Source organism: Homo sapiens, chromosome 2 (assembly GCF_000001405.40).
Source record: "Homo sapiens chromosome 2, GRCh38.p14 Primary Assembly".
In the NCBI taxonomy this organism is placed as follows: domain Eukaryota; kingdom Metazoa; phylum Chordata; class Mammalia; order Primates; family Hominidae; genus Homo; species Homo sapiens.
In genome coordinates, this window is record NC_000002.12 from 239,888,307 (window position 1) to 239,902,578 (window position 14,272).

The 14,272-nt window shown below is 48.0% G+C and overlaps 1 protein-coding gene across 1 annotated transcript in view, besides 2 other annotated features; it reads right to left on the minus strand.

Annotated features, from left to right (window-relative positions):
- Window positions 4,136–14,272, minus strand: part of NDUFA10 (NADH:ubiquinone oxidoreductase subunit A10) — a 132,901-nt gene continuing 122,764 nt past the window's right edge. The window contains exons 10-11 of the transcript NR_136158.2: window positions 6,899–7,008; window positions 4,136–4,401 (exon numbers count right to left, since the gene is read on the minus strand). The gene's annotated coding sequence lies outside the window, so the exon portion shown is untranslated. The remainder of the gene's footprint in view (window positions 4,402–6,898; window positions 7,009–14,272) is intronic.
- Window positions 7,587–8,087: an enhancer, noted in NCBI's record as "NANOG-H3K4me1 hESC enhancer chr2:240835310-240835810 (GRCh37/hg19 assembly coordinates)". NCBI's record gives its function as "activates a minimal SCP1, AML or CMV promoter by ChIP-STARR-seq in naive H9 embryonic stem cells {active_cell/tissue: H9 hESC(naive)}" and the evidence as "EXISTENCE:reporter gene assay evidence [ECO:0000049][PMID:30033119]".
- Window positions 8,088–8,588: an enhancer, noted in NCBI's record as "NANOG-H3K4me1 hESC enhancer chr2:240835811-240836311 (GRCh37/hg19 assembly coordinates)". NCBI's record gives its function as "activates a minimal SCP1, AML or CMV promoter by ChIP-STARR-seq in naive H9 embryonic stem cells {active_cell/tissue: H9 hESC(naive)}" and the evidence as "EXISTENCE:reporter gene assay evidence [ECO:0000049][PMID:30033119]".

Below are 14,272 nucleotides of genomic sequence, written 5' to 3' on the forward strand. Positions count from 1 at the left end.
TGACGCCTTAATAAAAGGTATTTCAGAAGTGAGTTCTCTCCCGGCTCTTTCACTCTTCTGCCATGTGAGAACAGTGTTTCTCTCCTCTGGAAGACACAGTGTTCAAGGCACCAACCTGGAAGCACAGACTGGGGCCCTCACCAGATATCAAGGCTGACAGCACCTTGAAACTGAACTTTCCAGCCTCCAGAACTGTCAGCTGGTAAAGTTCTGTCCATTATAAATTATCCAGCCTGTGGTACTTTGTTACAGCAGCACAAAAAGACGAAGACAGTTGCATTTATCTCTGAATGTGTTAAGAACCATTGAGTTGGACACTTAAATAAAACATACAAAAAGAGCCCTCATGCCTGTAATCCCAGCACTTTGGGAGGCTGAGGCGGGCAGATCACCTGAGATCAGGAGTTCGAGACTAGCCTGACCAATGTGGTGAAACCCCATCTCTACTAAAAATACAAAATGAGCTGGGTGTGGTGACACATGCCTGTAATCCCAGCTACTCAAGAGGCTGAGGCAGAAGAATCGCTTGAACCCAGAAGGTGGAGGTTGCAGTGAGCCAAGATCACACCACTGCACTCCAGCCTGGGTGACAAGAGTGAAACTCTGACTCAAAAAAAAAAAAGAGTTAGCCTAATGAGCACAGCAACACATCAATGGGAAAATAACTTATGCCTGAAAAAAATTTAAAAAGCTTATCGAGATTCCTACAATGAAACAGAGGAGAATGGAAAGTAACCGTAGAAACATGAGATTAGCCTGGGTAGCAAACAATAATACCCATCAGGTGCTGAGCATTGGCTGTAATTTGGTCTGGAATTCTGATAACCCTAGCAAAGATCAAAACATGCCCAGCTCCATCTCACCCAAAGGCTGGATGATCCTGGCTTCACAGGACACCCATTTAAAAGACAGCCCATTCACCCACCCACTGGATGGCTGGAATCTCAGTAATGTCTGACCTGGCCTCACACTGGACGTGTCTGCCTGGCCCTGAACGCCTGCTGGAAGGATCCCAACCCTGACTCCTGCCTTGTCTCACCTTCCTTAGGGTCAGAATCCTGCGCCTCAAACACTGAAAGTATAGCTTTCTCCGGTGGACTCTGGCAGGACAAATCAGAGCCCCTACCCCTCGCACCATTAGCAGCCTCTGGCAGAAATCCCCCGGTCCCACTCCATCCCCACAGTGACCCATAAGGGCTCCTTCCCCAAGCAGGAGTGGGAAATGGCAGGATTTGGGCACCCACCCTTCTCAGTAAGGGCTTGATCAGATGCACCTCACACACTTGCTTAGATAACTTGCAGAATTTCTGCAGCTTGTCTTGAGTTTATTTTGGCTCAAATCATTATATTAACTTGCAAATAATAGCAATGGAGAACACAGGCTTGGGCTGGGGCCAGCTCCCCACTGATGTCCCCACAGTGGACACAGGAAAAACAAGCCTTCATCTCTCCCAGGTCAAAAACATTAAAGCATGAGCAGATGGAATCCTAATAGGAGTTGTCAATCTGAGCCTTTGGGGATTTGCTGATGGTGACATCCCAAGGTCAGGGGCAGGAACCAGGGTCCAGGAGAAGCTGTCCGTCCTGTGTTCCAAGCCAGCACGGGCTCTGCTGAAGCAGATGGGAGGGCAAGACGGCTGCAGTCACAGCTGCCCTGGGCCTGGCTGCCCTCTCCAATGTGCTAGCCAACAGGGAGCGGGCGGCGCAGACAGCCTGGAGAGAGTGGGGCCGCAGCTTCCCATTCGGAATACGAAAGGAAAGGCCTGATGCAGCTGCCTTCAGATGGATAGAGGCCAAAAAGATGGTCTTAGGACATAAAGCAAGACAAGTCACTTCCAATCGGGGTCATTCAACAGCCATGTCTACAAGAATTAATTTGTGAATTAAACAAACGTTACTGTTAGAAAAATGAACTGGAAGAGAATGTTACATTTGCATAAGAAGAATGGAAGAAAGGGGCACTTCTGTGGAAGATGGAGGATTTGACACTGAGAACTAGCATGCGCCTTGTGATTTCAGTGAATCATGGTAAAAAGGAGATGTTGGAATTCACTGAGAATGATGACAAGGCTGCGGAAAAAGATGATAAGCTGACACCCGGGCAGCTGAAATACAGTCAGTGGGCGAGCAGGATCACAGCTCTGATTTGGAGGAACAAGCGGATGTTGCATTACTTCTAAAACCACCTAGTGTTTAACAGCCATGCCGAACCCCACTGCATTTAAATAAAGCAGAGGGATGAAGCCATAGCAGAACTTTGGGGTATCCCTGCTCCTCTCTTGCTCCTGGTGCTCACAAGCAAACAGGTGGCTTGGCAAATGTGTTTGTTTAGGACACCTGGCCTCCTCTGTAGCCCACTGCGACGCCTACGGTCTCTGTTGACTCAAGGTGTCTCTCTAGGTCAGAGCTTTTAGACTCCAGAGTTGATCTGGAACACCTCAGAGTGGAGAAGTTTTGCTGAGTTCTCATTTAACATTTTAAAAAAGCAGTAACACATGTTTGATTGTTGCTTATAAGATAAATACACAATTTTTTTTTTTTTTTGAGACGGAGTCTAGTTCTGTCACCCAGGCTGGAGTGCAGCGGTGCGATCTCGGCTCACTGCAAGCTCCACCTCCCGCGTTCATGCCATTCTCCTGCCTCAGCCTCCTGAGTAGCTGGGACCACAGGCACCTGCCACCACGCCTGGCTAATTTTTTGTATTTTTAGTAGAGTTCCTGGCCAGGCATGGTGGCTCATGCCTGTAATCCCAGCACTTTGAGAGGCCAAGGCAGGTGGATCACCTGAGGTCAGGAGTTTGAGATCGGCCTGGCCAACGTGGTGAAATCCCATCTCTACTAAAAATACAAAAATTAACCAGGCGTGGTGGTGGGTGCCTGTAATCCCAGCTACTGGGGAGACTGAGGCAGGAGAATTGCTTGAACCCGGGAGGCGGAGGTTGCCGTGAGTCGAGATCCCGCCATTGCACTCCAGCCTGAATGAGTGAAACTGTCTCAAAAGAAAAAAAAAAAAAAGATATTCCTGATCCATCACAATGTGTGGCCCCACAGTCAGCCCTCACATGAAGAAACTGATCAAAACAGGGTCCTTGGCTTAGGGTCCAGGACCCCCTTGCAATGATACACAAATATTAGTGTTGGAATACAGCATTTCTTAGTACCATCTCCGCAGGAAGCATAACTTCAGTTATTATTCAACATTCTCAATGGCCTCTGTGTACCTGAAAAACAAAGTTTGGCCAGGACAAAACTACATGCACCATATCTTGTACTAAGTTCTTCACTGTCCAGGTTGAATATTACAGGTTAAGACACAGACATTTCAGAGTAAAGCTGACCCACAGAAGTACAGTCCTGTGCTGCAGGATGACATTTTAGGCAACGAGAACCACATATACGGTGGCAGTTCCATATAAGATTGTCATATTACATTTTTACTACACCTTTTCTATGTTGAGATATGTTTAGATACACAAATACTTAGCATTGTGTCACAGTTGCCTGCAGTATTCAGCACAGTCACATGCTGTACAGGTCTGCAGCTTAGGAGCAATAGGCTCCATCCAGCATGCAGCCTTGGTGTGTAATAGGCTATACCACCTAGGGGAGCTGCAGGCACACTCTATGATGTTTGTATAATTATGAAATTGCCTAACAATGCATTTTGCAGAACATATTCTTGTCATTAAGTGATGCATGACTATAGTTTTCTCATTCACAGTCCTTCCTGTGTGCTCCAGCACTAAGCATCAATGCCTTCCGAACAAGGCTGGACCGGTTCAGACACCAGCAGGACCTAGTGGCCCAGGATGGATGTCAGATGGTCAGGTGAGTGAAAGGATAAGCAGGGAGAATTTCTAGATGGTCTCTAGAAATTCTGCTAAAATTGCTGTGGCTCAGATACGTGACAGCATGGCTGTAGTCCCGTCATCGATTTTTCTCTCTGTAAATTCTTCGAATGTCTGGATTCCTTCACAGGATGATGCTTCCCCAGTGCCCAGGGTGCATGGCCTGAGTCATCCCTGCTAAGTTCTGCTAACGACCACCTTTCTCTAACAGTACCTGAAATCAACATTTTATAGAGTGCTGGGTTTGTGAGTAAGTTGGTAGCTAGAAGGAAGAAAACAATTCTTATGTTTTTGTTTTTAAAACATACCCAAGTCGCCTGAAGCTTTAATGCTGTAAGATGACGTATGGGTGAGGACTTTTGGTTGCACATAACCGAATGATCTGGAATCATTTAACAGAAAAGTGAATTTACAGGGATTCTGGGACAGCCTTACGTACCAGGGCTGGGACGCAGACCAGGAACGGATGGAAGCAGGGAAGGGAGAATGCTGCTCTCGGTTTCAGGCCACGTCCTCGCTCTGTATCGCCTTCATCCGCTTCACCCACAGCCCACCTATGCCACACAGTGGACATGTCCTTAGTTCCACCACCCAAGCAAAACATGACTTCTCTTTCTCAGCTTTGTTTCCAATGCCATGGTGGAGACCATGGTTCTGGCAGAAACCAGCTGGCACAGTTGAGTCAGGTTTATCCCAGGAGGAATTGGTAAAGAGACTATCTACAAATGTGTAGGCAGGGGGGCAAGGAAACCACAGGGGACAGCATCATTTCTGGAGGCCAGCAACGGTGAGGCTGTTAGCCCCCCTCACCTAAAGGAACGAGGGCAGAGAGCCTGGCCCTGAACGCCTACGTGGAGAGGCTGCCTTGGGGAGCCGGGACCCTCACTGGGGGTTGTAGCCAGCAACAGGAAACTAGTTGGGATGAAGCCAGGAGTAAGTACCCTGCCCTGGCAGTACTCTCTGCCCCTCTGATCCCCTGCTGAGATTCCCCACCAGGCAAACCCAAAAGGAAGCCAGGGCAGGGGGTGGGCTGATGCGGCTCAATCAGGCCAGCTGCAGCACAGGGTACACGGCAGAGAACACAGTAGAGAACTGGATCATGATCGCACAGAGGACCGGAAGTATGTGCACAGAAGGGCTCTGATTGGCCCAGCGTGGACCATGTGCCCACCTCTGAGCCAATCAGAGAGCCTGGGGGAGGAGTCTGTGCCAATACGGCAGCCCTGCCATGAATGTGGCTGTTGGGATGTGTCTTAGTCCATCTGTGTTGCTGTAACAAAATACTACAGACTAGATAGATTATAGAAAAAGAATAGAACATTATTTTTCAAAGCTCTGGAGGTAGGAAGTCCAAGATCAGGGTAGGTCTGGTGTCTGGTGAGGGCTGATCTCCGCAGCCCTATGGCTGCATCCTCCAGAGCGGAGAACTGCTGTGTCTCCACGTGGCAGAAGAGATGGAAGGGGTGGAAGTGCCCTGCTCAAGCCCTTCCATAAGGCACTAATCCATTCATGAGGACCTGATCACCTCCTAAAGGCCCCACTTCTTAACACTGCTGCATTGGGGGTTAAGTTTCAACACGAATTTTGAGGGGACACACATCATTCAAACCACGCAGTGGGAGTGGGAAGCACGGCAGGGAAGGTGCCTAGATAAAGTCAGGTGGTCCTGAGCTCCACCATCCCAGCCTCACTCCTTCTCCCTGCCTCCCGTCCTCAGTTCTATCCTAGCCTCATTCCCTCTCCCTGCCTCCCATCCTCAACTCCATCATCCCAATCTCATTCCTCCCTGCCTCCCGTCCTCAGCTCCATCCCAGCCTCATTCCTTCTCCCTGCCTCCCGTCCTCAGTTCTATCCTAGCCTCATTCCCTCTCCCTGCCTCCCATCCTCAACTCCATCATCCCAATCTCATTCCTCCCTGCCTTCCGTCCTCAGCTCCATCCCAGCCTCATTCCTTCTCCCTGCTTCCCATCCTAAGCTCCATCATCCCAGCCTCACTCCTCCTGCCTCCTGTCCTCAGCTCCATCCCAGCCTCACTCCTTCTCCCTGCCTGTCCTCAGCTCCATCCCAGCCTCACTCCTTCTCCCTGCCTCCCATCCTCAGCTCCATCATCCCAATCTCATTCCTCCCTGCCTCCCGTCCTCAGCTCCATCCCAGCCTCATTCCTTCTCTCTGCCTCCTGTCCTCAGCTGCATCATTCCAGCCTCATTCCTTCTCCCTGCCTCCCGTCCTCAGCTCCATCATCCCAGCCTCATTCCTTCTCCCTGCCTCCCGTCCTCTGCTTCCACCTCCTCCCCAGGATGAGAGCCTTGCAAGTTTCCTGCCACCTCCTCTGGATCTCCCTCTCATCAGTCCCCAACACCGGATCTGTCAGTAAGATCTGTCTCTTCTGCCTCCTCCACAGCTCTCCAGCCTGGGTCCTCTTGTTGTCCCAGTGGGCCATTTCAGGACTTGGCTCCTCTTGTTCTCTGCCTTGTTGCTCTGTCAACAGTCCCCACGCCAGCTTCTACTGCCAATGCCCCCTCCTGCATTCCTCCGTCTCTGTGGCTGTCCCTTCTGACCTTCTCTATGGATCCCCTTTTCTCCCTCACCAACATTCTCTCCTTGACCCTCGCCTCTTCTCTCACCATGGCTGTCTTTTGATAATGTCATATCTTTTTATGGCTGAAATATATGAGCCACCAACTCCCAAATCAGGAGCCCTCTTCCATGATGAATATGGCTACAGGCACGATCCTGAGGTACCTCAAATTTAGCAGGTCCCAAGTGGAACACGAAGTCTCTTCCCACAACCCTGACCCCTTCTTCAGGAAGCAGCTCAGGTAAAGACACCCCATCCACCCAGTCGCCCAAACCAGAAACCCAGAACCCAGTTTCCCAGTCTCTCCTTCACCCCCACATCTATCTTAGCCGGGCACTGGCTTTCAGTGCCCTGTAGAGAAGAATCTTGCCTTCACCCTCTCTTCCTTATCCCCACCATCCATCACTGACCCAGTCCACGTCACATCCTCCCTCTCCAGGATGCCTGCCAGGCCTCTGCCCCAACTCACTTACCTATTCCCAGGCACTTAGGAGTCTTCTCCACACACAGACCATTCTGAGAACAGGGAGCCCAGTGGAGAACTGAGTAGGCTGACCCATCTGTGCTCCTGGTCTGCTGGGACCTAGAGACGAAGAGGACAGTGACCACAGAGCATATGAGTGAGGAGGGGAGCCCGAGCTCTGTGCAGGTGTAGGTGGGGCTTTACTCCACACTCATAGGTTCTGAAGCCAGGGCAGCAACTTCAAAAGTGATAGGTTAGGGGAGAAACTATAAAATGAAAACACACAGTCCCTTGTTCACAAAACAGGGAAAACTGCTCTTAACAGTGTTAAAAAACAAAACTTTTCCTTTTCCTCTGTTCTCTCTAATAATTTACCATTGTTATTTGCTACTTAAGGTCATCCTAAGTAAAGAAAATTTCAATTTTTATGTTTTAGCTGAATGTTACTGTTCATTTTATATTGTGCAATGTCAGTTTTAAATACAAATATAAAAGCATTAGATCCCCATGCAGAAACACAGAGATTACACGATTCCTATTTTGTAGCTCACATATGTATGTATATTTAATTTTTACCTTAACAGTGGAAGTGCTGTGCAAAACTAAACCAAGGGTTTTGATTTCACTTCTCGATACTGGCCGTGCTACTGCCTTCTTGACACTGCCTGCAGCTTACTGGTGAAAATGGAAGAACTGAAAGAAGGAACTGTGGCTTTTCCCGTCTTCTTTCCGTCCATGCATTGTTTTCAGTGTAAGTGCTTGGCTAATACACGAAAGTAGAATAAGTAAGAAAAAGTACAATAGGGTCTTTGGTTGTTGGTGTTATTCACAAGGCCACTGCCTTCTTTCTACATTTGAAGTGGACTCATGTGGAAGGTGTGGCTTTCCCACAGACTCAGTGGCAAACACACACAGTGACCTGTTCCTGGCCTCGAGTCCTGCTGGTCTCCCGTGCATCCTAGGGTCACTGGAATTCTGTGCTCACTGTGTCACCAATGCCGCGTGTGAATGGAGAGGCAAGGAATGGCAGACGTGCATATCATGCAAATCTCCTGTGCTCCTGCCCCTGCTGTGCAGTGCTTCCAAAACACAAGTTCAAAGGCAAAGGTATCAAGATTCAGGGCAGACCTGGCCGAGCATTAAGCCCAGCACAGAGCCCTTCTTAAGTGCAAGGCCCCATGAGATTGCACGCCTGTGAAGCTGGCAGTACCCTCGTCTTAACTGCAATTGACAGGAAATTCAAGGGTAGAGGAGCATGTTAAACACCACCACAAGGACACAGCAAATCCAGGGTTGGGGGCACTGCAGCCAATGACCCAGACACTGCAACCAGCCAGTGGGGCCACGGAAGGGAGGAAAGAGGCTGAAACAGGTTCCATCATCGGAAATGCCAACTTGTTTGGCTCCTAATTCAAACAAACCAACTGTAAAAACACATTTCTGGATAATTAGGGAAACTTGGATATGAACTTGTATTTGATGCTATAGAGGTAAAGGAAGTCTTCTTAGTTTAGAGTGAAGGATAGTCATATGTGTCGTGGTTACGTGGGGAAAATGCCCGATCCGTGAAAGATGCAGACCAAGTCATCTGCAAGTCAAACAACAAGATGTTTGGGATTTGATGTATTTTAGAAAAAAACAGCAGGGGAATAGTTGGCACAAGATTGGCAAAATATTGAAAATGTTTGAATCTCAGAGGTTCATCATTTTATTCTACTTTTTAAAAAGTTTTTTAAATGTTCTATAACAGAAAGAAGGAAAATAACATATGTATGTGTGTATGTGTGTGTACTTATTATGTATTCCTTAAACAAATCTTTTCTTTTAGTTTATAAGGAATTATATTTTCAACACTGAATTAATTACCTTATTTTGCAATAAATTAGTAAGGAGTTAATGAAGACTGAACTATGATCCACACATGAGAGCTTTGGCATGGAAATCACTTTTTATCTCAACTTCGTATCCCTTCTTTTCATTTCTTCGAGCAATATGGAAAATTTCCCAGCATGTAGGACACACTATAATGTTCTTTCTTGAAGATGTAACTCTATACATTGCAGTAGCTAATTATTCAAGTTTTTATTTAGTAAAAATTCAAGAAAAATCCTATTTTTATTAGAAATTCTATCACTAAAATTATTTGTGATAAATTGATTCTTCCCATGACTCTTTAGGGAAAAAATACATTTTTAGATCATACTTTTTCTTGAAGTGAAAAAAAAAATTAACATGCACGTACCACACACATGTAAATTAGAGACAAGTTTAGACACAGGAGTAGATTGGATTTGCCTAAATATGGCCTCAGATTAATAAAACCAAATGGGGAAAAGCTGACTATTTTTGTTGTTGTTATTGACAAGTGTCTGTTATATTTTGAAAAGCATCCATACTTGATGAAGTGCTGGAGGGCCGAAGAGAGTCCCAGGCTTCCGGATTCCAGGCCGGCAGCTTCCCTCTGAATTCAGTTCCTCTCCTGGGCCCTCCTCCTCCTCCTCTTCTTCTTACCTAACTGCCTGTCCCCAGGCCTAAAGCCACCAAACCCTGCTGTTGGGAGGCCCTGAAGACTGATGGCCGCCCTGGAGGTCACTCAGCCCCCAGAGACTGCAGCACCCAGGCCAGTAGTGGGAGTGAGCCAGGTTCACCCCTCCCTCTGCCATCCCAGCCTCAGCTCCAGAAGCACGCGCATCCCCTGGGGCACACAGCCCCTTCCTGCATCCCTTCAGTTCCTTCCCTTCTGGGATCCCTCTTCCTTTCATCAGCAGGACACTGGGAGAAGGAACCATCCCTACCAAGAAAACTGGAATGGCTTTGGTGTCTGGCTAAGCTGGAATATAGAGCCAGGCTGCCTGCTCTGTGAGAAAACGGAACTGCAGGAACCAACCGGGGCCCAGCTCACAGATGGAGCAAGGACTGTTCAGAACCACCCAGGGCCCAGCTCACAAATGGAGTCAGGACTGTTCAGGGTTACGCAGTCATGGGCATTTCTCCTCCACTTCCCAATACTCTGCAATAAAATAATGATGTTTATACCAAGGAGGTTATAAAATGAGAGAACGTGTTCCTCTGAAGTCTACAGTGGCATTTCCTACAGTACCTAGAAAGCCAAGTCCCTTACAGCACTCAGGAGGTGCTCAGCCTGCGCCCGGGGCTGTTTGGAGGAGGCGCTGCCCCTGCCTGCCAGCCTCCAGAGTCAGGAAGGTGGCCCCGAGGGAGCTGCCTACACACACTCTGCTCTTTTTGTCAGCCCCCGGCCCACAAGTGAATTCCCAGGACTGGGAGCTGATGCCGTATTTACGAGCTTTGCTCCTGGTGAGGTTGAACCCTGGGGCTTCCAACCCCAAAAGAGATCAGACCCGAAGAGGGCACCAGCAGGGGCAGGCAAGGAACGCCTCTCCAGGAACGCCTCTCCTTCCTCTCCTTCCCTCTCTTGCACTGGTGAGCATGTGGACATGTCCTGTGATTGCAGGTTCCTGCTACTTAGTGCCACTGCATCACAGGCAAGATGAGAAGAGCAAGATGCAGGTGTCAACTCTGCATCATCTTGGAAACCACATTCACGAGTGCACAACGAAGTCCTACACAGATGGGGCAAGGACCACAGAAGAATAACTGTCATCATACGAAAGCACAGCAAGCATTTTTCTGAGCTTACAGCATGCCAGGCCTGTCTCCTTCTCTCCACATGTAAAGGGGTGTGAAGGAGGGGAGTGATGGAAGGTTGTGATGGAGGGGTGTGACGGAGGGGTGTGGAGGGGTGTGGCAGGGTGTGATGAAGAGGTATGATGGAGAGGTGTGATGGAGAGGTGTGATGGAGGGGAGTCATGGAGGGGTGTAAAGGAGGGGTGTGATGGAGGAGTGTGATGGAGGGGTGTGATGGAGGAGTGTGGAGGGGTGTGGTGGAGGGGTGTGACGGAGGGGTGTGATGGAGAGGTGTGATGGAGGGGTGTGATGGAGGGGAGTCATGGAGGGGTGTAAAGGAGGGGTGTGATGGAGGAGTGTGATGGAGGGGTGTGGAGGGGTGTGGTGGAGGGGTGTGACGGAGGGGTGTGATGGAGAGGTGTGGTGGAGGGGTGTGACGGAGGGGTGTGATGGAGAGGTGTGATGGAGGGGTGTGATGGAGGGGAGTCATGGAGGGGTGTAAAGGAGGGGTGTGATGGAGGAGTGTGATGGAGGGGTGTGGAGGGGTGTGGTGGAGAGGTATGATGCAGAGGTGTGATGGAGGGGTGTGATGGAGGAATGTGGAGGGTTGTGATGGAGGGGTGTGACGGAGGGGTGTGATGGAGAGGTGTGATGGAGGGGTGTGATGGTCCCTTCCACAATTGCCAGGATGAAACAGAAAACTGCGCCACTAGAGCTTCCAGGCCAGGTACCTGGAAAATGGTTGATAGTTATTTTTATTCTAGGCAAAACAAGTCTCCAACTCAACAAAGTCAGTTAGTAAGGCAGGTGGACATCAGAGCCAAAGCAATGAGCCACTGGGCCACCCTGCACATCCCTGAGGGTAGAGAAGCTCCTGGGCCTCAATGCAACACTTAAGGGAGTGAGAGGCTGAATGGACAATGTCCAGCCCAGATGTAAAAACAGAATTCCACGACCTGCAGCATCCAGCACACAAAACCCATCATCATCCACAGTCACCAGCCCAGAAAGCCCACCCATCATCCACAGTCACCAGCCGGGAAGCCCACCAATCATCCACAGTCAGTAGGCCAGGAAGCCCACCCATCTTAAAAAGTCACTAGCCTGGGAAGTTATCTTCCCATTATCTGGGTGGGCACCATCTAATCAGCTCCCAGAGAGGCTAGAATAAAGCAAGCAGAAGAAAGTGGAATGAGCAGACTTGCTGAGTCTTCCAGCCTTCATCTTTCTCCCGTGGTGGATGCTTCCTGCCCCTGAACATCAGACTCCAAGTTCTTCAGCTTTTGGACTCTTGGACTTACATCAGTGGTTTGCCAGGGGGTCTCGGGCCTTCAGCCACAGACTGAAGGCTGTACTGTTGGCTTCCCTACTTTTGAGGTTTTGGGACTTGGACTTGCTTCTCAGCTTGCAGACAGACTATTGTGGGACTTCACCTTGTGATCGTGTGAGTCAATACTCCTTAATGAACTCCCCTTCATATATATATATATATATATATATATATATATATATATATATATTTATCCTATTAGTTCTGTCCCTCTGGAGAACCTTGACTAATACAGGCCTCTAGCCAGGGCACACCTGAGCCTCCCCGTTTTCCTACCATGAAGCTTCCCCACTCCTCTGCTTATCTTTGTCTCTGCCAAATGCAGGTGATAATGGCTGCCTCCCCTGCTATAGCAAGCTCTGAGTAGGTAACCTGTGCTTTTTTCATTGGGTGGTCTTTTCTTCCATAGGAAAAAAAAAACCCATGTGTGTGGGCTAGGGGTGGGGAAGTCACCCACATAGCCCAGCAAAGCTGAGTGACACTGATGGGTGGGTGTAGAACCTTGTCAGATCCCCTGGCATTGCCGATATGGAGAAGTGGTCTGGCTAGAAGATCAAACCAGCCACCACATTCCCTGAAGCCAAAGCCTAATCCAGAGCAAGGCCCTCACTCTCTTCAATTCTGTGACGGTAAAGCTAGAGAAGGAAATTGCAGAAGCAAAGCCTGGAGCCAGCAGAGGTTGACTCAGGAGGCTGAAGGAAAGAAGCCATCTTCATCACATAAAGGTGCAAGGTGAAGTAGCAAGTGCTGATGGAGACGCTGCAGCAAGTTATACAGAAGATCTAGCTGAGATCATGGATGTAGGTGGTTACACTAAACAACAGACTTTCAATGTAGAAGAAACAGCTTTCTGTTGGAAAAAGATGCCATCTAGGACTTTCATAGCTAGAGAGAAGTCAATGCAGGGCTTCAAAGGACAAGCTGACTCTCTGGTTAGGGGCATTACGCTGTGCCTTCAAACTGAAGCCAACACTCTTTTCCATTCTGAAAAATCCTAGGACCCTTAAAAATTATGCTACATTGACTCCGCCATGCTCTACAAATGAAACAACAATGGCTGGGTGGCAGTGGCTCGCATCTGTAATCCCAGCACTTTGGGAGGCAGAAGGATCGCTTAAGCCCAGGAGTTTGAGGCTGCAGTGAGCTATGATCACGCCACTGCCTGGGTGACAGAGTGAGACCTTGTCCCCAAAATAATACTAGTAATAAATGGAATAAGAAAGCCTGGATGACAGCACATCTCTTTATAGCATGATTCACGAAGTATTTTAAGCCCACTGTTGTGACCTACTGCTCAGAAAAAAAAGATTCCCCTGAAAATGCTACCGCTCACCGACAATGCACCTGCCCCCCAAGAGCTCTGATGGAGAGGCATAAGGAGGTTCATGTTGTTTTCACAGCTGCTAATACAACATCCATTCTTCAGCCCATGAACCGAGGGGTGATCTGACTTTCAAGTTTCATTATTGAAGAAACACATTTTGTAAGGCTATAGCTGACATAGATAGTGGTTCCTCTGATGGATCTGGGCAAAGTCAATTGAAAACCTTCTGGAAAGGCTTCGTCATTCTAGATGCCAGTAAGAACATTTTTGATTCATGGGAGGAAGTCAAAATGTCAACATTAACAAGAGTTTAAAAGAAGTTGATTCCAACCCTCATAGGTGACTTAAGGGGTTCAAGACTTCAGTGGAGGAAGCAACTGCAGATGTAGTGGAAATGACAAGGGAGCTAGAATCAGAAGTGGAGCCTGAAGATGGGATGGAACTGCTGCAATCTCAGGAGAAAATTTGAGTGAATGAGGAATTGCTTCTTGTGGATGAGCGGAGAAAGTGGTTTCATGAAATGGAATCTACTCCTGGTGAAGATGTCGTGACCGTTGTTGAAATGACAACAAAGGATTCTGAATATTACATAAACTTCGTTAATAAAGCAGTGGCAGGGAGATTTACTCTCAATTTTAAAATTTAAAATTTTAATTTTAAAAGAAGTTCTACTATGGATAAAATGCTATCAAATAGAATCTCAAGCAACAGAAATCTTTCATGAAAGAAAGTGTCAACAGATGCAGCAAACTTCATTGTTGTCTTATTTTAAGAAGTTGCCACGGCCACCCCAATCTTCAGCAGCCACTACCCTATGCAGTCAGCAGCCACCAACTCCAGACAAAACCCTCCAGCAGTCCAGCAGTGAAATGATTACAACTTGCGGAAGGCTCTGATGATTGTTGGCATTTTTTAGCAATGAAGTATTTTTAAGGTGAGGTATGCACATTGTTTTTGTGAGACATAATACTATTTGCACACTGAATAGACTATAGTACAGTATAAATATAGCTTTTATATGCCCTGGAAAACCAAAACATCTGTGCAACTTACTTTTTTGCAATATTCACTTTGTTGCAGTGGTC